At 35.7% G+C, this 25098-nt stretch overlaps 1 protein-coding gene across 11 annotated transcripts in view; it reads right to left on the bottom strand.

The window, feature by feature from the left end:
* Positions 1-2855: 2855 nt before the first annotated feature.
* LOC124903233 (uncharacterized) overlaps positions 2856-25098 on the bottom strand; it is a 46627-nt gene continuing 24384 nt past the window's right edge. For 7 of the 11 annotated variants that reach the window (XR_007063916.1, XR_007063910.1, XR_007063917.1 and 4 more), the window contains 3 exons: positions 10184-10265; positions 9151-9194; positions 2856-3355 (listed from right to left, as the gene is read on the bottom strand). Coding sequence is in view for 2 of the 11 variants with exons in the window: in XM_047430847.1 (XP_047286803.1) it covers positions 9170-9194; positions 10184-10265 (107 nt within the window). In the remaining 9 variants the exon portion in view is untranslated. Of the gene's footprint in view, positions 3356-9128; positions 9195-10183; positions 10266-18677; positions 18833-25098 lie in introns of those variants that run through there. The other 4 variants (XR_007063912.1, XR_007063913.1, XM_047430848.1 and 1 more) reach the window with 2 other exon arrangements.

Genomic DNA, 25098 nt, shown 5'->3' with positions numbered 1-25098 from the left:
GTTTCTGCCTCTCACCTGGGAAATCTAGAGAGACAGGAAACAAGAGATACGGAGTGGCTACTTGATTTGGCAGCTGAGCGGAGAAGAATGCTGTTGTTGAAAATGGCTCACTCCTAGAGTATGAATATCTCTTATAAATCAAATTGTATTTTAAACACCAGACAAGCCCCGAGAATACAAAGCCAGCTTATGCAGTATAAGGCGACAACTTTTCTGTTTCCCTAAACTCACCTCCGTCCAGCCATTTAATATTACTGTGGTCAAGGACCTTAGCTAAATTTAAAACAGAGGTGAAAATATAAGGGAGACATAACACCACTGTGTCCTGCCAGAGGCCAGCAAGCAGCAAGTTGCGAAAGAGAAAGGGAAGATCTCATTTTATATCAGGTGTGATGTTTAGATTAGTTTGAGAACTAGAAAACAACTAGAAGCACGTAATCACTGAATTGAAAAGGTTTTTTTTTTTTTTCCATGTAACTATAAGACCTTTTATAATAAAAGTAAGCCAAAAAGCATAGGAATGCTTTTGGAGGAATGCTTTTTGGAGTTCTCAGCAGAGCATAGAGGTGGTACTTTATCGTTGAACAAATTTTTAAAAGACAATGGAAGAGAAAAGATGCTTTCTGATTATATCCATGAATGCTGGTTTCTCAAGGCATGGCATACAAACCGTTTGTACTTTCAACAACAAAAATGTAAAGATATGAATGTTTGGAGGATATAAAATTTGAAGGAGTCCATTAGACTCAAGTGTGTAGTGAAAGAACATTGTTTTATAGCTCAAATTTTATCTCCAACTCAGCCTTAGTTCTCTAAATGGTGGACAACATATTTGAGTCAATTTAATGTGCTTTCTCACTGCAAATTCAGGATACGTAATTCAGTCTTTTAAAAGTAAATAGTGATTTCACAATTCTTTCTCCTTTTTCTGCCTTTCTCACTGGGCTGATTTCTGTTCCCAGGGATTGAAGAGAGAGTTGGTGGGTTCTAGTTGGCTTTTGATGAGGTATAGCTCACTTTATCTCATCTTTGGGTGTCTGCCCCTTGGCATTTCCAGTGACCAGCTTTGAAAATTTTGTGTTCATTTCTTTAGTGTTACAAGTCCCCTTCAGGACTGTGAGTTCACTAGTTCACTCCCAGTCAATCTCCACACCACATTCTAGGAGATGCAGGGATTCTTTGAGTACGCCCCTCTCCATGCCAGGGTCACATAGAGTAGGGATTGCAAGGACAGCTCTTTGGGCCCCCTGCCCACCTTCCAGTACTATCCTACAGTGTGAACAAGATATTTTTGAAAGGAGGTATCCATAGCTTTTGCTTTGGTTTGAATATATAATGAGACAGCCAAGTAAAAAGGACCCCCTGGAGAACCTCCAATCTGGCCTGCACACTGGGAGAATGGGGTGGAGCCACAGAAGTTTGTCCTGTTTGCAGAGGGGAGGAGCCTGGTCTCTTGAGTTCCTGTGCGGTGGGTCAGGAGCTGGTTAACAGGCTTCCCCCTCACTCTGCTGAAAGTTTTTCTCTTTTTCCTTTTTTGCCCAATAAGTTTTGTTTTTCCCACCCTTCTATGTGTCCGAGAGCCTACTCTTTCCTGGTCATGTGACAAAAATCTGGTTTTTAGTTGAACTCAGGAGAAAGTCCTGCAACAAAATGTCCCTCCAAAGTTCATACTTTGGATACCCAATGTGCTTGTAGTAAGAGGTGAGGTCTTTAGTGATGTGATTCAGTCATGATGGCTCCACCCTCATTAATGAATTAGTCCTTTTATGAAAGAGATTGAAGGGAGTGCCAAAGTGCCTTTTGCCCTTCAACCATGTTAGGACACAGCAACAAGGAGCTATTCTGGAAGCAGAGCGCAGCCCTTACTAGATCCTAAATCTGCTGGCAGTTTGAGTTGGACTTCTCAGCCCCCAGAACTGTGAGAAATAAATTTCTGTTCTTTACAAATTACCAAGTTTAAGGTATTTTGTAATAGCAGGGCAAATAAACTAAGACAGCTTTCATCTGCAAGTTCTAGGTAGAAAGCTGGACACAGGCCTCTAAACTATCTAGGTTCTCCTTGCATAAAACCTGAGGTTTCATTCCAAGAATGGGATAAAATAAAAAGCTTTATTATTATGTGATGACAATAAGGACACTCTAGGTATTATTTAACTGCTTCTCATCAAACACAAATATGAAATACATGGAAATAATTTCTGAATAATAGATAACATGAAATTATTATATTTTAAAATAGCAAAATAGTAAAAAGTCTTGCAAGTCATGTGATATTTGAACATATATTATTTTGTGTAATGGAAGTATGGCATCAAGGAATTTAAACTGTGCTACACACCATAATAGATGTATAAATTCATTGATATACACACGTATAGTATTACTTTAGGATAATATGCCTTACTGAGTTATCATTTCTTTCTGCCTACAGGTAGGAAGCCCTAAGATGATTCACAAGTCCTAAGATGTATGTGTATATACACATACACACATACATATATCACAAACATCATATATGTATGAAAGTGATTTGCCATTATGACAGTCACCAATGAAATTGATCAAATTTAATAAAACTAAAACTCCGTCACTCAGATATAAACAATTAGCCTGGGTACCATAGTGAGACCCTGTCTTTACAAAAAATAAAAAAATTAGCCAGATACAGTGGTGCACGCCTATAGTCCCAGATACTTAGGAAGCAAAGGTGTAAGGTTTGCTCAAGCCCAGGATATCAAGGCTGCAGAGAGCCATGATCAGGCCAATGCACTCCAGCCTGTCCAACAGAGTGAAATCCTGTCTCAAAAATATATATATACAAATAATTGAAATATTACAGTAAAAACAAGAAAAAATGCAATCGCAAAATTGACATTTTATTCAGAAGGGAATTTTTTTTTCAGTTACAAACAACATAAAACATTAGGTCACAAATAAAGAAACATAGACAGTAATTGTGTTTTGTTTATGTGCATATGTGTGTCATCACTTTTGTACATATATATACAATTACTGCATATTTTACATATAAGCATGGCCTTCTATATTACAGTGAATGTGTCCCTATCCTTAGCAATGTGTCCCTGTCCTCTGTTACTGGGGTCTCTCACTTTCTCCACCTCTCTTTCTTCTCACTATCCAGTGGTTCATTATCTTCTCCTCCCTAATCCTAGCGAATACATAGCTGCCTTTGCCTAGTTTCTTTGTTTAAACTTGAAAGCATGGATGTGGATAAACTGATATCAATATGGGTAACTGACAAGGAAGTCTTGGAGAGGGGAAGGTGAGATACAGGGGAAAACATGGTCAACAATATCTCTCCAATCCATTCTCTCAATTTGAGAGGTTACATGTCCTGGGGAAAGAAAAAAGAAAGGTGATTTGCTGAAACCTCCTTGTAAACATGCTAACTGCTAGCAACAGACTTCTTGGCAAACATATAATGATACTTACTAACAGAGACTATCTATGGAATGCCCTAGGTTTGTCTAAGATTGCGTATGGTAAGCAAGCACAGAATAGGAAGATGTATAGGCATGGCTCCCTGGAAAATGTCATGTGAGCTATGTAACTGAGTATAAAATAAAGATATTTCAGGAATGAAACGTCTCCATTTTGTGTATGTAATCCAGCCACATACATCACTTAGAATCCTAAGATATTGTTCTGGACAGAGCATGTCCTAATGTGACAATAAAAGACTCACGGAGATGTGATGATACTCTCAAGCCTCTCTTTATTTTGCATGTGGTAGTTATTTGTATCCTTGAAATGATTAGGGAAGGTTAGTTCTGGGTAAGATCTCTGATTCACGTGAGTCTAACTTGATAAGTTGGTCCTTTCTGTTATCTAGATACATAACTCACTTTCATTCCCAAATAAAGTATTACACAATTTGACTTCTGTGCATAAAACATGGTGGGAATAAAAGCATTGTATTGTTGATTTAACTATTTTGATTACTTCAAGTGAATAAAGGAGCTTACAAAGTTTAGCAAAAATTGGGGGGAAAGGTGCTTTGTGGAACATCTATTATGAAGCAATTGTGGTACTCAATAATTTTTGCTTTTTGGGTTCCCTCCCCCCGAATTATATTTGAGAAATGTTAGACCTACTGAAAAGTTAATAGAATAGTCAATGAACACATATACAGTCAACACTTAGATTCACTAATTTTTAAATGTTTTAAATGTTCGTTTTGTCTCTATATAAAAATATATACTTTATTTTGATAATCCTTTTAAAAGTTGAAGATTTTATGATGCTGAACCTCTAAATATTTTAGAATGTATTTCTCAAAGCTATTGTTTTATATAGCCTCACTATTATTATTATACCATAGGACATGAACATTTATATAAAATTTTATCAAATACAGTCTACATTCAAATTTTCCCGAATTTACCAATAATATGCTTACAATTGATCTTAGTTTCCACTAGAAAATTTTGATCACTCTCTCACTTGTGGGTGACAGATATCTAATTCAAACAAACTCAAGTACAAAAAAGAAATGTATTGGCCTATGTAACCCTGAGAAAATAGGGTTAGATTTCAGAGAGAGTTCTAAGGGCTCGGTACCATCAAGTCTCTCCATCTCTTTCTCTTTCTCTCTCTTCCACTTCAGCTTTTCACTTACTCTCTCTTCTATTTCTTTCATTATTGAGCAAGATCTCTTTATATTGTGTAAGTACTGCTTACATCATTCTTACAGTTTGGAGTTCAAAAGAAAAGAATGCTTCTTATTTAAGAACTGTAGCAATCATCTCAAGGATTGATTTTCACTGGTGAAGTCTACTTTGGAGTTATAGACTCATTTCTGAAAAGAATCATATTATTCAGGCCTAGAGCACAGGTCTGCTCTTTGAGTCAAGTATAAAGTTGATTCAGCCTAAAGCATGAGATGGAGAAGGGAAATGAATGGTTGTTCAAAAGGGGAAAATTTCAGATCAATTAAAAGTAATGGAAACTATCAGTACAACCTGGTGCTGAGAATGTAAAGAGGAATATATGTTCCAGGACAAGAAGCTTACTCTGTAGTAGGGGAGACAAACATAAATAAATGCACATAATATTGCATACCAAGTATCACAAAAAAGATGTAATTCAAAGTGAAGTCAAAGCACAAAACTTTTTATTTTGACATTTTCAATCCAAGATATCTACCTTTTTGTATAGAATAAATAAAATATTTTTCTGCCTTTCATTAGAATAAATTATAACTGTAAAATTATTATTTATTTTGGTTTGGCAATTGCTCTTGATATTAAGTGGCTGAAAACTCCAGAATAGGCCGCCTCAAGGTTAAAGGGTAGAGTCCATTATTTCAGTTCTACTTTTGAACACATTTCTTCCAGCCATTCTACTACGTATTGGAATAAAAGATGGTCCTTGCTCTCAAGAAGCTTAAAGTTCAGCAAGACTGCAATAGAAAATGGCCTCAGTTGTGATGCCTTTCCTTATTTATGTGTGCCGAGGGCTTATTCTTCTACTTGACTTCACCTATTTCTCATTTCCTGCTGATGCCCCGCATGCTCTTGGGACATATTTTGCTCTGATTTCTATGTGATATGAATTTTTCTGGTTCCTGTCTATCTAACTAAATTCTGGTCCCCTCACTTTTCTGACCCCAATTCTTCATGTTCACACATTGCTTTGCTTCCCCAAACCCAATAAATGTTTCTTTTAACTCATTGAAATGAATATCTTTGTGAGAAAATGTTTTTAACATACCAGTGGTGAAAGTGAAAACTAGTTCATCAAAGCAGAACTGATAATATAAATGTCTTATTTTACACCTCTAGAGCAAAGACAAGTCCAAAAGTAATATTATAATGTCCTGAAACGTTAATTATGATGTCTTGTGCATGTTAGCCAATTCATTTTAGTTATAAACTGTTTTCCTGACCAAATGTTGACTGATAAATTCATTATTTTAAAACGTCAGTTTAAAATATAATTTAAATATAATTTTTAAAGTTTTTATTATTAGGAATAGCATTGTTTGGCCAGGTGTGGTGGCTCATGCCTGTAATTCCCACACTTTGGGAGGCCAAGGTGAGCAGATCATCTGAGGTCAGGAGTTCAGGACTAGCCTGGCCAACATGGTGAAAGAAACCCTGTCTCTACTAAAAAAATACAAAAATTAGCTGGCCGTGGTGGTGGGCACCTATAATCCCAGCTATTCGGGAGGCTGAGGCAGTAGAATCACTTGAACTCAGGAGGCGGAGGTTGCAGTGAGCCAAGATCGTGCCACTGCACTCCATCCTGGGTGACAGTGAGGCTCCGTCCCAAAAAAAAAAAAAAAGAAAAAGTATCTTTGTTATGGTCTCTTATTATTTATAATTTGTTTCCAATTTTTGCAAAGTCGAAAAACAAAAAATATAACTTGTTTTAATTTACAACTATTTGATTATTAGTGGCAGTGAACCTTTATAGATGTATTGATTACACATCCTGATTTCTTCTTACATTAACTATTTATTGTGTTTTTGCCTAAAGCATATATTGAGAGGATAGGGCTCATTGTACCAACTTATATCTATACTGAATAATATATAAATACTAATCTGTTGTCTAACATAGCTATAATACAATTTCTTCATTTTACTGTTTTGATGTTTAAATGTATCGTTTTGTTTGTTTTTTAAACATAAACATAAATTTGTTGAGAAATGTATTCACTTATACCTGATTCATCTCTGTATCACAATATGCAACTTATATAAAGTAAACTGATATTTCTGTATCAAGCAAAAATATGTGCATATATGTGTAAGCATCTCAGCAAATAATAAAAATAAATTGTTATACACTAAAGCAAAAATGGTTGGGTTTACTGTAAACACACCTAATGTCAGACGGTAGATAAGAAGAACAGCCCAATGGTTCAGGATGACAGAGATATTAATAATTTATCTCTATTTCTCATCCACCACTAACTTGTCTCATTTGTATTTTGGTCTATGTGAAGAACAAGATGTCTGCTGAATGTAAACAGTCTCATCATTCTTTAAAAAATTCACCCTCATTAGAGTGTTGGGTTGACATTTCTTTCAAAAGCCTTTTAAATTATCCTCATTGTATCTTTAGTCATTAAAACCACTTCACCACAATTGCCACCTAATACTCTTAAATTTGACACTGTTATCTATATTAATGAATGTTAATCCTTTAGGTGGATAATTTATCTGTGGTTGTTTTCTTCCTGCCAATTCAGCCATGAAGTTTTATAAACAGAGCTGTAAAACAGTAAGAGAACAAGAAGGCTTGACAACTGCCTTGCGATTTCTAAGAACCTAGTGTAGTGCTTCCCTTTTTACACCTGGTGGCACATTTAATCTATATGTATAAACACTGGCAAACAAAATAATCTTTTTCCATAAAATTGAAGGAAAGGTTTGTATTGTTGAATAAATTAATGTTGGCCTTAGACTGGCTTCTATCCAATTTAGCTTCATGGCGAGTAGACACTGCAGAATCAACTTTCCTATCTAATACTATATATTCTAAGTGTGAAAGAGAAGAGGAGACTAAGTTTGGAAGAATTCTATTAAGTTCAAAATTTAACTGAATAAGAAGAGAAAGATGAGAAAACTCTATATTGGAGAAAAATAATAATGGTAGGAACGCACACTCGGATATACAGCTACACAAGTTTCTCAGGTGAAGCTGTAGACTAAGAGAGTATAGAGGGAAAGAATTCTGCTGAATAGGTGAGCCCTGGGATGATAAAAGCTAGAGATGAGTAGCCTATCCAAAGTTGAAAGAATCTTCTCAAACATCAGTCATCGCATAACAGCTTATTCTCTGGGCTAAATTGACACATAATCCTTACTGAACATAATATACATGGAAGATACCTATAACTATAATCCTCCATTTGAAAATGAAAAAGTCCCATTTTTCATACATAAACACAAGCTTGGAGTAATGCCACAGAGCAATTTCTCCAGCAGGCTTTGTAGAGCAGCCTTTGAAAATCCATTCAGTAATAACTAATGTTTTTAGAAACCCAAATTTGCATCAAAGGCAACATTTGTTTACTATAAACTCTCCTCATGATACACTCTTAGCTGTCACCATCTTTGCTGTCAAAGAATCTTTGAAGTGCCAATTGTTAACAGCCAGGAGCTTTCAGGCTTTGGAAATTTGCTATAGTGTTTCTTATCAACTCTGTTCTTTCTAAAAGATCAAACGACCTATTCACATACAGCACTCATATACTGAAGATATTTAAAAATTTATTTAGCTTGTTACTGGTTTATTTCACCACTCATATCTAATACCAGGGATGGCTGAAACATTATTTACGTAAACATATTGCACACTTTTTTCACAGAATGAACATGAAAAACTGGAAACTATTTTAAGGACAAAAATTTTACATCTTGTCTTTTGGAGAAAAAACATAAATGGAACTCATAGGCAAAGCAAGGAGAGACAAGCAATTGAACTTAACTCTGATTTGGAGTGGCGTTTAAAAATTGTAAAAATAGTATCCATTTAAAAAACACAAAATAAAACTTGAAATTACTTTCACTTATTAAGATGCAATCAAGGTTTTGGTAGCTTTTATTTGAATGTCATTCGAGATACGTCACCTCTAAAACTGCATAAGATCACTAAATGGGTTTCTGCACAGATTTTAAGCACATGCTCAAGTTCATTTCCAAACACAGATTTTGGCTTTACAATACTGACAGGAAATGTGGCTTTCGTGGTTTCCTGTAGGTTGTTCAAACTATGAACTGTTCCAGGAGTTACCATATGTGTTCACATCTCTCTCTAATCCAGTTTTGAAGGACAAACTAAATCTAATGTGGAACCTCTGAATACAAGTTTGCAGTGCCTCAGAAAAATAATTAAAAAAAATTAACTGAGTGGAACTTATTATAGCTTCCAAAGCCAGAGAGCTAGAGGTAGAGGAAGAAAAGAGAGAGAAAGAGAGGAGAGAGAAAGAGAAAAACAGAAAGTCTTAAATTCTTGTTTTCCTGGATTAATAACAATGAAATTGTGAGACTAGAGGAGTTTAGAAAAAGTAGCAAATAACCTAATGCAATAATGGAGCAGCAGCAACCAATATTGACTATACTTTTCTTTCTTTAATAAATGCTAGATCATATTACCTGGGTATAAAGTGAAACTCACTTGTTTTACATCAATGATCTTATATCCTTATGTGGAAACCAAAGCTGAAGGAATATGAAACATATTTTAATTTTATGCTTTGTCTGTGGAACCTAAAAAATAATCTTTTTCAAAAACAATTTCAAACATTATTCAATAAATTCCAGAATAATGAAAATTTAGAAGCTGTGTCATATATCAACTATAGAACCAGGTTAAATACAGAAAGGTCTAAATATGAATCAGCAAGACATGATTAAGCATTCTAATATGGGAAAGATACTGGCCAATAGTATTTAACACCCGCCTCCTTGCAATTTCCCTTAGATTAACAAGGCTACTGTGTTAATAATCTAAGGAGGGCAGATTAAAAGGCAGAGTGAGTCATTAATTGAGCTAAAAGAAATGTAAAACACAAGGGAACCTGTAAGACACTCTAACAGCTAATCAGCTGTTAAATTCCCAATTTCTGTGGGATGAAAAGTGCTATGCTTGCCCCTCCTTTTCTCCTTACTCTACTTCTTTGACTTTGACTCATTGCTCCTCTACCTCCTTGGTCAAAAAAATTAAACAGCAATATTAGAATTTAAAAATAGAATCACCATGAAAAAGTTTCCATGAAAATAAAAAAAACAAATGTTTTAAAAGCTTAGGAGCCATATAGAACATAGTTTCCAACAGGGCAATGGCAATCCCAGTTTTTGAAAAAGAAAAAAAAAATCATTGTCCTTATTTTCATTTAGCTCATTCTTATTTATTTTTAGGAGATCACAATAAAAGAATACAATCAATTCATAAAAATTTGACCAAATGAGTAGAAGTTAAGAATATATTCTTTGACAACCATAAGTCTGCATCTGCATTCAAATCCAGGCCTTTTGAATTTGACAGCTTTACATCTATGGTCATAGCTTTGTTTCCCCCAGAATTAAGAAAGTATCACCTACTGTTAGTCCTGAATTAAAGTTTATGTAAATAATATATTTAAGTACGTTGTGTTAGGCTGTATCTTATTTTTGCAAATATTCGTTGCCCCTACTTAAGGAGGATTTACCTTCTCTCCCTGATGACACCAGCCTGAAGACATGGATTTGCTTTCGCCTGTAGTAACTGGTTACAAGTTTCATGTGTAGCACCTGTGGGCAGAAGTTTTGAGATGCATTATGTGGTTTCTACTATATGCCTTTTCTCTCTTCTACATGATTGATAATACTCTTAACAAACGCAGACCAGAGTGAAGGTGAAGCATAGCAGAGTTATAGCCAACCTTCACTGGACATGTGGCATGAGCGAGAAATAAACATTTGACTGTGGAAGACCATGAAATTTTAGAGTTCCAGAAGTTACCATATGTGTTGGCAATGCTCTCTAATCCAGTTTTGAAGGACAAACTGAACCTAATGTGAAGCTTCAATATGAGATGGTAGTGTCTCTTAAAAATAAAATTTAAAAATTAAATAAATTCGATGAAGCTTATTGTAGACTCCAAAGCTGCAGAGAGATAGAGGTAGAGACAGACAGAGGGAGAAAAAGAAACAACATAAGATAGTCTCTTCTGAAAGATATAAGCACAGTGCTGTTGCACAGTAAGCATGGTAACTATAATTAGTAATAAGAAGAAACTTCAATAATCAAAGTATTTTTTCCTTTGATATTTCATGAGAAGAAAGTATATTTAACATAAAAAGGTGTTATCTAGATGGCAAAAACCTATTAAAAACAAATAAAAATTAATTATATGCTGTATGTTAAATTCAGCATGGATTAATCCTAATACCAGATTAATTAATGAATCCTAATTAATTAATCCTAATACCTAATACCAATTTCGTAGCTATATAGGACTTACCATTTAATTTTAAATACGTCACCTACCTCATTTTAGCAACAGGGAAACTGACACCCTGTGAGCAGAGGGATTTTGCTAATATCACCTAGCCCTTAAAAAACAGACCTGGCCAGGTACAGTGGCTCACACCTGTAGTCCCAGCACTTTGGGAGGCCGAGGTGGGAGGATCACTTGACCCCAGGATTTAAGATCAGCCTGGGCAATATAATGAGACCCTGTCTCTACAAAAAATGAAAAACTAGCAGGGCATGGTGGTGCATTCCTGTGGTCCCAGATACTCGGGAGGTTGAGGCAATAGGATCGCTTGAGCATGGAGGGTCAAGTCCACAGTCAGTCGAGATCGTGCCACTGCACTTCAGCCTGGGCAACAGAGTGAGACCCTGTCTCTAAAACAAACAGAAAAAAAAAAAAAAGCACAGATCTAGAATCCTAGTCAAATTACTCTTAGTTGCAAACAATTAGCACTAACCTACAACTGAAAAATAGCACTGTCCATATATTTGATAGAGAGAGGAGAGAGAGGCATCCAATACTACAAATTTATGAATCATTAAAAGAAGGTTAATTTTTAAAACTACTTTCTAAGGAAGGAGAGTAGGCAACATTTTAGAATGACATAGTTTATATATATATAGTTTATATTTTTTCAATGTGCTTTCATAATATGACACAACATACAGATAGATAACCATGTATGTGAGGAAATTAGTTGCAAAATAAGTAGATTAGGCATTTCATTTTTCTGTGTGGATGAAACCAAAAGCACCTCAATGAAGTCTTTGAGGAGAACCTGGAACAGCTTGTTTTAGAATTATTATTTCACCAAAAATTTTTAGAAAGTCAGAAAATGTACATAAATTATCTATTTAATGGCAACAGAAAACTAAAGTATACCAAAGACTAGAAGACTTAAAATTTTATTACAGAAGAGTAATAGAGATGGCAGGGTGATTACAGCCAATTCTGTGGGGTGTAGGTGTGGATTTCATGCCTGACCAAAAGAGTAAGAATTCAGATGGCATGAAAATGGGCAAGTCCAGAGATAAACTGGCAGAGCTGGAGTAACCAAATAGAAATAGAATAACCAAATAAAGGAACCAAATAGAAAACTTGATGAGCCTCAAACTCAGGCCACCTTTCCCCCACATATGAGGTATTTATAGTAGTAAAATTCATAGAAATAGCGGTTGCCAGGGGCTGGAATTGAGGGGTAAATAAGTATAAAATTTAAGTTATGCTAGATGAGTAAATTCTAAAGATCTGTTATACAACATAGTGCCTGTAGTTAACAATACATTGTTGGGCTGAGGCTCAGAAACTGACACCCCAAAAACAGGGCACTTTTGAATTGCTGAACTGAAGAAGCCTCTCGTGGTCTCTTTGACCTTCCCCCTCCCACACACTTTACCCCACCTTCTCTTAACCCTCTATCCCTCCAAAGCACGAGATAAAGTTGTTCTCTGAGTTCCCTTATCTGCCCAAAGTATGAACACACAAAAGAAGAGAATAATCACCTCTGGTTCCTTCCTTGAGCTTTTAATAACTGAACTCATATTGCATGAAGAAAGACAAATCTGTCAACACACCTGGACAGACTATTGTCACAAACCATTGTCTGTTATGTGCGTCCAACAGACTTTGTCCCAGGCCACTGTGCATCCAAGCCCATTGAGTCCCCTAAATATAATTTACTACTCCCTTGAAATAATTTGCACTTCCCCATCTCTCTTCCTCCTAAAAAGAAGTGGATATAAGCCATCTGTACCCTATTGCACAGTGGAGTAATTGCTCTGTGATTTTCCCCCATTCACATTAATTAATTTGTATGTCTTTTATTAATCTCTTTTTTGTGAGTTGATTTTTCAGGGAAACTAAAGTGGGTGAAGGGGAAGTGTTCCCTTGGCCCCTACGGTTTTGGCACAACCAGCAGCCTACCAAAGACGCTCTGCTCTTCAGGAAGCCACAGTAAAGGGAACCCAGGACCTGACAAGTGAGCAGGTAAGAGATTCTTACCAGCCAGGCTTTCAGCCTCTCTGTCTGCGGAATCCAGTCATGCAGAAGGTAAATATCACTGTCTCTCTTTGCTAAATTTTGATTAATGGGAGAAGAGAATTCATGTGACTAGTTTTTGAGAAGAGAATTCATGTGACTAGTTTTGGGTATAGCAACCCTGATATACTTTTTGATCTGAATCGTCATACTGTTTGATCCCTTTTCTGCCAGAAATAGTATTTTCCCTTGTCTGTGTTTTCTGTCATAAAGAGGGGTAGCACAGAGTAGAACAAGGGCCTAAAACTTCTACAAACCTGACATTCAAGTTGGTTTTGCAGACCAGTCAGTTTTGAGATTCTGATCAGACAAGTGTCTATAAACTTTACTATGGGTTCCCAAAATATAACCGGATGAGGTTACCTTCTGTCTTGTTTCATGTCTTTAAGAGCTTGACTTATGACCAAATTGAAGCACTCTCTCCTGGTCTCTACCATCTGAGGGATATAATTTTCAGATTACTTCTGGTGGCCAGTCTGAAATGGCTGGAAACCCCGAGGCACATAAAATTTTAGGCAGCATACTGTTTGTTCCAAAGGTGTCAGGCTGTCAGGGAAATTTGTCTTAATGAAAAGTCTCATCCCTATAGGACTTTCGTCATCTCAACCCCTTTGTTGCCTGGTTAGTCCTGAGAAGCTCCAATCCCAGGAGAGCCTATCTGGTGTCATAGATTAACATGTCTGTGACTGGCGACCCTTCACACATTTGTGGGATAACAAAGGCACTGTGTGCTCAAACATTATCCTTAACTGTCTGTGACAACAAGAGTATTTTGCTATTTTAATCTACTCCTGAGAGTGAGTTTTTTGACGGAGAGGATCACTGGAACTGCCTCTTCTATTCTCTATCCAGATAATACCTCTTGCTAAGATAAAAAGTTATTCTAAACATGAAAAATTACCTGCTGGGCTTTCCATGAACAGGTTTATGGAATTGGGTCCCTCCTGGAATAAGTACACCATTGGAAATTATTTGTGTGACTCTTGAATTCCTGGGGGGGTACCCATTAGTTATTGATAACTTTTCTCTTTCATGGCCAGCTTTTGACTTCTTTCATATTTGGGCCATATGGGAATTTTGGGCTTTTGTTTGTAGATGGTTGGCTAAGAAGCTGAGATTCTAGAGACTATGGAAACATTCGTTTCTTTAAGCTGTTTTGGGGTCGTTATAAATCTTGCAAGCACTGCTCTGCATCTCTTTGGAGATATCTAGTATGTCCTTGTTTAAGTCATAACCTTGGTTAAAGGCTTATTGGCTTTGGTAAGTCACTTAGAAAGGTATCTTTGATTTAAAAGAAAGAAAGAAACAGTTTAAAAGGCAGCAATATTGGCTGTTTGTCCTGATTGAAATCTGATAAGAGATTCGCAAAGATTTTTTTAATAGCTGTATGGCCAGAAGTCAGCTTAACTAAAAGCTGACAATGTCAGGTTATAATCATTTTTTTTGAAAAAAAATTCTTTATTATTTTTTTTTTCTCTTTTGGATCCTGATTTTGGGAAATTTTTTTCAGTCAATTGTGACACTTTTTAATTATGTGTTTGGTCCCTCTGTTCATTTTCTTCCTTGTCGGTACAATTTTGCTGAAGAAAAAATGCAACACTTCCTTGACCCCTTTGGAAAACCTATAGTCTTCTGAAAATGGCTCCTCTAAGATTTGTACTCGCCTTTACTTCTGCTCCTCCTTCCTCTTTGCCATCTTCAATATCATGTAAAGACATCTAGAAGAGTTATCTAGAACCGCTGAGACCCTTCAGGAACACAGAAAAAAGCATTGAACACACTCTTTTTGGGATATTTTGGATTACTTTTGGAGTCTGAAGAGACATGGGCAGTTTTCTGTCAGGTCTAAAGCTTTGCTCTCTTTCACATTAAACTATGTGATCTCTTTGACTTTGGAGAGTACCAGGGATTACTTAATACTGTGAGAGAACAGGATCTTTGGGTGTGTAATAGCTGGCAAGTTACTAGAGAAGGTTATAAGGTTATATAGTTTCTGAGATGACTGACAGTGCAGTGGATGGTTGTGACTGCAAGGGGCTACTTATTTCTTTGGGCTTGGAGATAAGAAACGTGTGGCTTAAATATCTGGAGGCTATGGGAACACTTGCTACCAAGTGATAAGACTCCCATGAGGGAAGTCTGATCACAGAGTGGGCTGATTGGCATTGTATCATCCACCATCATCAGGAAAATGCCCAGGTGGTTAGGTGCACTGTGGAAGCATTGCACAGCCACTCCCATGGCATTTATCTCCTTTTGGGCACCTGGGATTCAGTGTAAAAGTTGAAAGAGGCCGGGCATGGTGGCTCACGCCTGTAATCCCAGCACTTTGGGAGGCCAAGGTGGGTGATCACGAGGTCAGGAGTTCAAGACCAGCCTGGCCAAGATGGTGAAACCCTGTCTCTACTAAAAATACAAAAATTTAGCCATGCGTGGTGGCGGGTGTCTGTAATCCCAGCTACTCGGGAGGCTGAGGCAGGAGAATTGCTTGAACCCAGGAGGCAGAGGTTGCAGTGAGCCAAGATCGCACCACTGCCCTCCAGCCTGGGCGACAGAGTGAGACTCTGTCTCAAAAAAAAAAAAAGGTTGGAATCTTGATTTTTGAAAATCTAGATGTTCTGTCTTCCAGCTATACCTACTTTTTACATATTTAAATGTTAGGCCCTGAAAACTGCAAATATTTTATTGGTCCTATTTATTAATGGGTTCATCCTGAACTCAGTGGTCTAATTGAGAAAAAGAGCCAAAATGAGAAGCTACCTATCCAAATGAAACTGATCTCCTTATACAAACCTGTGGTGAATTCTTATGATTTGTATTACTTTGGCAATTATTCTTAGTCTTCCTCTAACAAACCTAAACTCCTTCTTGAAAAAGCTTAAATTCTCCCTTCTCTTTGAGATGTAAATTTGCTACACTATTTTCTCCAAAACTCGTTAAGTGCTTCAGTCATGTAGGACAGATAAACTTACTATATTTACAGAGGCACAATTTAATACAAATGTCCTTTTAAGCTAGTGAGCTTTCCCTATTTTACAGCTAAAATTTTAAAATCAAAGCTATAAGATATTTGTATCCGTCTCTATTTTTATGTATACCTGTCTACATATCTGTATTTGTATATTGTCTACATAGTATAAAATTGCCTTACAAATAAATAGTCACTCATAAGTTAAGTAAGTAAGCCTAAATGTTTTGCAAGTTCATGTGAGTTTAGTAGTCTTTGGTAAATAAAATGAGTGTTAAAATTGTTGGTGAAACAAAATAAAAATATTTTCAGAATTGGAGAAATTTTGCTTGGGTCTACTAGTTAGACAAATTTATACTATCTCTGCTAGACGTTTTAAGGTTATAAAACTTGCTTCTGTGAATTGGTGATACTTGCTTGATTTGTCTATGAACTTATGTCTTTGGTCTCGAGCCTTCAGAGTCTAAAGTCTAGTCAAGTAGCCATGGTAAGGCCTGAGGATATACGTGTGTCTACACTGCCTTAGCCCCATCCTCCTCCCTGGCCCAGCTGTGCCTCTTGGCAATGCGGGAACGGGTCAGATTTTCCAGGCATTGCCTTCAAAGCTCTGTCCTTCCTGGGCTATGCATCTAATACATAACACTTAAAATTACTTCCTTCCTATGTTTTGCACTGAAAATTAAGGTTACTAAGAGTTAACACTGTAAGTAATATATACAGTTAAAACTTCTAAATATAAGAGAAACATTTCTGTGTTTGAAATGTGTATGGAAAATACGTTGTGTTTTTGGTACAAAATATTATAAGGCAGGCATAAAATTTTTCTGTTAAAGGAAAAGTAATTTTATCTAGTTTAAAGTTTTTAAATTAAAAAAATAAAAAGGGAGTGACAGATAAAACTAAGTGAATACAGAAAGTTGGAGAAAGAGTATGGAAAGGTTTATGAAAATTTTATCTTGTGTGGTCAAAGCTGATTGAAATTTGATAGATTTCTTTATTAGTTTTTTAATAATAATGCTAGTCATAAAACAGCTGACAAGTGTTCAGCTTTTAGTCATCATGGAAATGCTAATTGAAAGAAAATATGCGACCATCATGTAGTTCATTAGAAATTGAGACAATGCCAATTTTTTTATTGATAAGGGGCGGCAATTTTTTTTCAGATACTGGTAGTAGGAGTGTGAACTGGTATAACCAATTTGGAAACTATTGATTATATTCACTAAAATTAAACATATTCATGCTTTATTATCCAGCACTTCTACCTTTAGTTATATAGCCAACAGTAATAAAGACACATACTAGAACGTTCTTAACAGCATATTTGTAATATTATAAAATGGAAAAAACCTAAATGTCCATCAATAGTAGAGCAGATAAAAATATCAACACATTTTTATAAAATAGAATATTATTCAGCAATGAGAATGGACCAACCTATAACTCCATGAACTGCATGGATGAATCCTAGAAACATAATGTTGGGCAAAGAAAACTACACATAAAAATATACACACTGATTAAAACAAGTGCTAGTACACAAGGTTAGAAATTATAATAGTCATTATCCTCAAGTGAGGGAGTAGGGGCTGGAGTGTACATGAGAGGGACTTCTGGGACACAAAAAATGTTCTTTATCTTATTCTGTGTGCTGATTAGTTTGGGGTGTACACTTTGTGTTGTATATTTATGACTTCATACATTTGTCTATGTATATAGTTAAATGAAATATCTCCTTAAAGCATTTCAATATAAATTATTTATTTATGTAGGTTAAATTTAATCTTCACTTCTTCTGATGTTTAAAGAGCATTAAAGTATCTTAATCACAAAACCATAGATCCTACAGAATAACTAGAATTTGACATATACTCATTATGAATCCACAATTAGTATATATTGTTAGCATTATAGTTACTGTAATCAGAAATATTCACCCTCAGAATTGCAAAGTATATTGACTAAATTCTGTTTTGCACTAAAATTAACATAAGTGATGACATCTATGACACCACAAATCACTGGTGAAATTAGTGGTGTTCAAGATTCATGTTTGGATAGAAACATTTTATAGACAGCCTTGTACCTATAATTGAGCTATAAGAATAAAGCAGGAGCAGCCAGTTCTCTCTCTCTGATGCATTGTTCATTTCTGTGCTGCCCCACCTCACACAGAACTCTGCAGACTTAACTAGAGTATTGGCTGATTTGTCAACAAGAATATTGTTTTGTTGGCCTCTAGTCAAATTTTATCCAAGGTATTTGTCAAAATGCTGAATAATGTGTTATAGGAACAAGTGATATGGTGGCTTATGTACTACTTTCTTGCTAATAAATATTGTACCATTGGCAGAATTTGGTCTAAAATTGACCTTTATCATAAGATATCATCTGGTAATAAGGTTATGGTTTCAGCGTCATAGAAGGTAATGATAACTGCTATAATAAATAAACCTGCAAATTCCAGTGTGTAAACACAACAGAGCTTTATTTGTAATCAAGGGCAATGGAGTTTCCATCATGATACCAACATCAAAGAAGAGGTGTGACACATTGTGCAGAAGTCTTTCAGCAGCTAGACTTAGATCAATTTAGTCTATTTTCTATTAATTAGAATATAGACGTTCGAACCCACATAGAATCAAGAACAGAAAATATTCCATGCTGGACAATACTACATACCATAAAGGCAAGCAAAGTCTCTGGTGGAAAGATATATGTCTCTGCTCTGAGATGCCCCTCTGATCTGTCTTTGTAGTCTCTCCTTCCAATGTCTATTTCTCTTTCTGTTCTCAAGAGGAAACAATTCTGAAATCCCTCTAGTTCTCCTTCCATTTCTGCAAGTACAGGTGGCCAAAATTTCTTTCAAAAATTATTAATCAAATGGTTTTATAAGATATATTTTATAGTATAATTTCTTCAAACATTTAGTAGGATTTTTATCAATTTTCTTTCTATTAAATTCATGAGCCAGCATAACTTAGAAGGTTCTTTCTGAGGCATAATTCTCAAAGCTATTCACTCCATTATTTCCCTACCACAATATCTCAGTTATTGAGATATGACTGGTGGCTATTTTGTGATTCTCTAAAATAATAGGTGGGAAAACCACATTTTAAATTTTTGCCCTAAGACTTACTGAGCCTTGTAGATCAGACATTTAATACTTATAACTTAATCTCTGTGTGTGTGTGTGTGTGTGTGTGTGTGTGTGTGAATGTACATGTGTGTTGTAATAGACTTCATTTTTTAGAAAAGTTTCAGGTTCACAGTAAAATTGAGAAGTTACAGAGATTTCCCACATATCCACTGCCCCCAAACATACATAGCCTCCCTCATTATCAATATTCCTAACAGAGTCCTCTATTGTCCCAATTGATAGAACCTACATTGCCACATCATTTTTACTCCAAAACAATAGTTTTCATTAGGGTTCACTGCCAGTGTTGTATATATTATGGGTTTGGACAAATGTATACTAACATTTATTCGTTATTACAGTATTATATAAGAATATGTTTACTGACCTAAAAATCCTCTCTGCTCTGCCTATCTTTCCCTCTTCTGACCTAAATTCTGGCAATTACTGATTATTTTCCTATCTAAGAAGATTTGACTTTTCCAGAATGACATATGTTTGGAATACTACAGTATATAGCCTTTTCTGATTGACTTCTTTCACTGAGTACTATGCATTTAAGTTTTCTCCATGTCTTCCCAGAAATCTATAGCTCATTTTTTTATTGTTGAAAAATATTCTGTTTTCTTTATGTGCCATAGTTTATTTATCTATTCACCTAGTAATGGACATCTTGGCTGCTTCCAGGTTTTGACAATTATGAATAAATATGGTATAAACATTTAAGTACAGGTTGTTGTGTGAACATAAGTTTTCAACTCCTTTGAGTAAATACCATGGAGTGAAATTGCTGGATCATATGGCATGAGCACATCTAGTTGTGTAAGGAGCTTCCATATTGTCTTCCAAAGTGGCTATAGCATTTTTCTTTCTCACCAGCAATGAATAAAAGTTCCTCTTGCTCCACATCCTTACCATTATTTGATTTATTACTTACCCATTGGAGATGAGAATTACTTAATATGATACTTTCCCATTTTGGAAGACTCTAAATTTTTTTTTTTTAATTTAGTTTGGCTTGAAAAACCATCCGATCTCCTCAAGTGAATTCCTTTTTCAAACATTTTGCTAAATGCTACCAATAACAATCAACAAACATTATTAACTTTCTGTTTTACAATCTAATCTAACAGATCTATAGACTTAGCTCACATATAGTCTGCTCCTCAAGTTACCTCATTCAGTTTCACAAAATATTTTCCAGTTGATAACATGAGACAGTGTTTGGGAATAGGAATACAATCTCATTCTGAACTCAAATTTAGAAAGAGATATACTTCTAAGTAATGTATATGTTTTTATCTTACATTTGGTGTGACTCATTACTATTCTTATATTCCTTTTGTTTTTTTGACACAGAAAGCATTGAGGCAACAATGTCTTGCCATTTATCAGGCATACAGATAAGACCACTAAACATTCACTTCAAGCACTTAGCTTACCCTTAATTTCATCTTATTTGGTTAATGAGGATTGTATCCTTATTTAAGATGCAAATTTTGGTTTTAGTTAAGGTACCTGTAACTGATGAAAAACATTTGCTCTAAAACTTCAGTGGTTTATATTTGCTCAAGAAAATTCCAGTTGGTGGCAGTAGGGAGGGTGGAGAGAAATACTATGTTCAACGCTGTTACTGAAGGGGCCAATATGGCGGAAAACCTGCCATCTTCAATGTGTCACTCTCAAATGTCACCCAGAGTTTCAATACACAATTGGTGCTAAGAAGAAGAAAGAGGGTTGGGGAATCATTTGAGTTTAGGCTTAAAAGTTGCACACTTCGGCTTACAGGTCATTGGCCCAAATGTGCTCACATAGCCCAGCAGATTCAAGAGGACAGGACATATACAGTAACTGTTCTATGGAAAGGGAGAATAAATCTTTGCTCTACAGCTGGATATTTTTTCCCAAGGCCTTGCTCACCTCTAACTCCCAGAGGTTATTGATAGCTGCCAAAAGTACCTTGAAAACGCCTCAGTAGCAAAACAAAATGAAACTGAGGGTTTCAAGCTAAGTGCTTGAAGTGCATGCTGGGTGGTCTTATCTGTGGGCCTGACAAATGGCAAGACACTGTTGCCTCAATGTTTTCTATGTCATAAGACAAAAGAAATATAAGAGCAGTAATGAGTCATGCCAAATATAAGATAAAAATCTAGACACTGCTTAGAAGTACATATCTTTCTAAATCTGAGTTCAGAATGAGATTTTATCATAAGACTTTATTAAAAATGTTTCTACAATAAATAGGAACTTCACTATATTTTTTATAGTGTCTCCAGTGTGGCCTTGCTATATAAAAGCATTAATAAGATAAATAGAAATATACAGTCATAGAAATATGCTGATATTCTGACTTTGTTCAGTGAAAAATATTCAACCACATAAAGTGGTATATGGACATTTCAGGAGTCCTCTGTACATTTTATTTATTTTTTGATTGCATGTTACTAGTGGCAGCAAATTTGAGGTGGTCACCCCCAAAAGGAACTGAATTACAAACAGCAAATCTACTCTTAATTCAGATACATGGTTTAAAAGTCAGCTGAGCTGGAGGATTAACATTTTCATTTGGAGGTCAAGTATTCTAAAGCAGACATTATTTGAGTAGAAAATCTTTCCACCTCTGCATAACCTGGGCCAAATAAGAGTTATAGTTTAAAGAAATATTTCCCAAAATGTGCTACTATCATCTGCCCAAAAAAGAATAGAATAAATTAGAGTCCAACAGTCTTTTCCATGGAGCCTGGCTATAAAATCATTAGGTTGAAAAACTATCAAAATAAGAGTTATGAAGGACCCATAGGACATCATTATTGATACTGAATTCTCATAGTTTAGCCCTTTGTTCTTTTCCTAAGGCATTAAGTTGTGGAAATTCAAAATCTATGAAAATATTATTGTTTTGAAATATCCATGCATTGTGTGCACAGTTTCCCAGTCCAAATAAAATCTACATTTTAACGCTGGTAATCATGTAAAGGAATTATTTGAAAAACAAAGTCATATATAAGTAAAGGAGCTAATTTTCTCCAAAGTAGTTTCAATTTTGTCAATTAAATGTTAAAGAACACATTTCAAACTGGTGTCATTGTCTATTAACTCTCTGACTATCCATAGTTATAGAGCAGACTAAATTGTCAATGAGGTAGATGGAGCCAGAAAAACTATACCATTATTATATAAAAATATGTTTATATGTTTTACCATGTTAAATAAGAAAAGTGAGGCAAACAAACAAAATGAGGACAAGCTACTGAGGTAGAAGAAAAATACAAAGCCTTGGGGAAAAGTGAGAATGGGATCACTGATTTGCATTTTGGGAATTATTACCTGATTCATCTTGAGATTCTTCATTTGGATTCTGACTATCCTGGGAGATTTTAGGTGCAGTTTTGTAAGATTTTCAAGATCTATATTGAGTTCTTAGACTTTAGCCTAGTAATGATTCCTGTACATTGAGTCACAGGGCACGCAAACATCATAAAAACTGTCAATGGCTTTATGTTATTTCTAATAGATTTCTATACTAGGTGACATTGAGAATAAAAATGGTCAATAGCTGAGCTTTGGCAAAATTGTGTAGTCCTTTGTTAGACTGCTGGCCTAAGTTCTTGAAAACTATAAAAATAAAAACTAGTCATAGATTTTATATATATTAATTCATTTTTCTCTAGTATTTGTGTATTCAGCAGATACAGAGTTGAATCTTGAGGACATTTATGTATGGTAAGAGGAGATAGGCTGTATTGGTGCAGAAACACCTCTTACTTGGGCAACTAAAATAGTCATCTAGGTGGCCTCTGTTTCTACTATTACTCTCCAAATGTTTGTTTTCTGTATAAAAGCTTGAATAATCTTTTTAATTTTTTTAAGAGACAGGATCTTGCTCTGTTGCCCAGGTTCAGTGAAGTGGTGAGTGATCATTGCTCACTGCAGCCTTGGACTCTTGGGCTCAAGCAATCCTCCTGCCTCAGCCTCTGAATAGCTAGAATGACAGGTGTGTGCCATACACGGCTAATTTTTCTTTTTATTTTTCTGTACAGCTGGGGTTTTGCTATGCTCTCCAGGCTGGTCTAGAACTCCTGGCCTCAAGCAGTCCTCCTGCCTTTACCTTTCAAGTTGCTGGGATTAAAGGCATAAATTACCATGCCAGGCTAGAATAAACTTTTAATAAGTAAAATGGAGATCATTTCATTTCCATCTGCAAAATCTTCCAAAGACTTCCCATCACATTCAAACTAAAAATCCAAATTCCTAACCACGTCCAGCATAAACCTTACATGATCTGGCCCTTTTCTATTTCTCTGACCTCATCTTACATCACCCTTAGTGACTCACTCTGGTCTTGTGACACTGACATGCTTCTAGTTCTTACAATTTTCCAACTATGTTCTTTCATCAATTGCAAGTGCAATTCCCTCAGCTTGGATCTCTTTTCCCACATATCATTGCATAGCATACTCCATTTCATTCTGATTTTTGCTTTGATGTCATTAGTCTCACTGTAATCTTTCCTCATTCTCTAAAATAAAAGAACCCTGTCTTCCTAATCGGTCTTCATCTCCTTACCCTGCTTCATTTTTCCGGAGGGAACTTACTACTAACCACAGTTGTAGAAATATATTATTTTCTTTTCCATCTTGGAATGTACTCTCCATGAGTTTAAGAACACTATCAGCTTTATGTACTGAAAGATAGGTTCCTTCAATGCTGCCTAGAACTTAGCAGAAGCTCCTTTTTGTTGTTGCTGTTGAAAGATTGAATGAGTTAATAAATTAAAATATAAAATAAAGTGTCTAGTAGTAGCCATATAGAAATAAAATGACTGCATGAATAGACACAAACATTAAATATTATGAATGCTATATAAGAAAGTTAAGGGAACTATAATGCATGATTCTGATTTATTTTGAAGATCTGTCATAAGTTACCCTGAGGAGCAGATATTTAAACAGTAACCTAAAGAATGAGTGTGAATTATTTTCAAAGAGTGGAAAGAAAAGCAAGAAAAGTAGAAACCTACAAAGAATATCTGAGGCTAGAAAAACCTAATTGATGAAAGATCTTCATTAATATGAGGAGAGGTTAGGTTGTCAACAAAAAAGAAAAACCAAAATGTTAAAATTTCAATAAAAATAACAAAAAATAAGGAAAGAAATGAGTTAGAAGATTTAAACTAAAATTATATAATGGCTTAATCCTGAATGGAGTGTTTGCTTTTTAACTTTTTTGATGGGGTACATTGCCAAATTGTATATATAAATATGTATTTATATATAAAATATTTTTTAATTGTTAAAAGTGTATACACTATCTCAGTGGCTCATGCCTGTAATCCCAGCACTTTGGGAGGCCGAGGCGGGCAGATCACGAGGTCAGGAGATCGAGACCATCCTGGCTAACATGGTGAAACCCCGTCTCTACTAAAAATACAAAAAATTAGCCAGGCGAGGTGGCGGGCGCCTGTAGTCCCACTGCACTCCAGCCTGGGCGACAGCGAGATTCCGTCTCAAAAAAAAAAAAGTGTATACACTATCTATATGTTTCTTTTCTCTCTTTTTTTTTTCTTTTTTTGAGACTGAGTCTCACTCTGTTGCCCAGGCTGGAATGTAGTGGCACAATCTCCACTCACTGAAACGTCCCCCTCCTGGGTTCAAGCAATTCTCCTGTCTCAGCCTCCCGACTAGCTAGGATTACAAGTGTGCACCACCAAGCCCGGCTAATTTTTGTATTTATAGTAGAGACAGGGTTTCACCAGTTTGGCTAGGCTGGTTTCAAACTCCTGACCTTAGGTGATCCACCTGCCTCGGCCTCCCAAATTGCTGGGATTACAGGCCTGAGCCACCATACCTGGCCTCTATCTATATATTTCTAATAGCTAAAATAATATATATGTAATGTAAAACATTTGAAAAAGTCAGAAAAACACAAGAAAATAATATTTTCCATACTTATTAGTTAATTTAA

Source organism: Homo sapiens, chromosome 13 (assembly GCF_000001405.40).
Source record: "Homo sapiens chromosome 13, GRCh38.p14 Primary Assembly".
In the NCBI taxonomy this organism is placed as follows: domain Eukaryota; kingdom Metazoa; phylum Chordata; class Mammalia; order Primates; family Hominidae; genus Homo; species Homo sapiens.
Note: the sequence above shows the minus strand (reverse complement) of the source record. Positions and strands in the feature narration are given on the sequence as shown.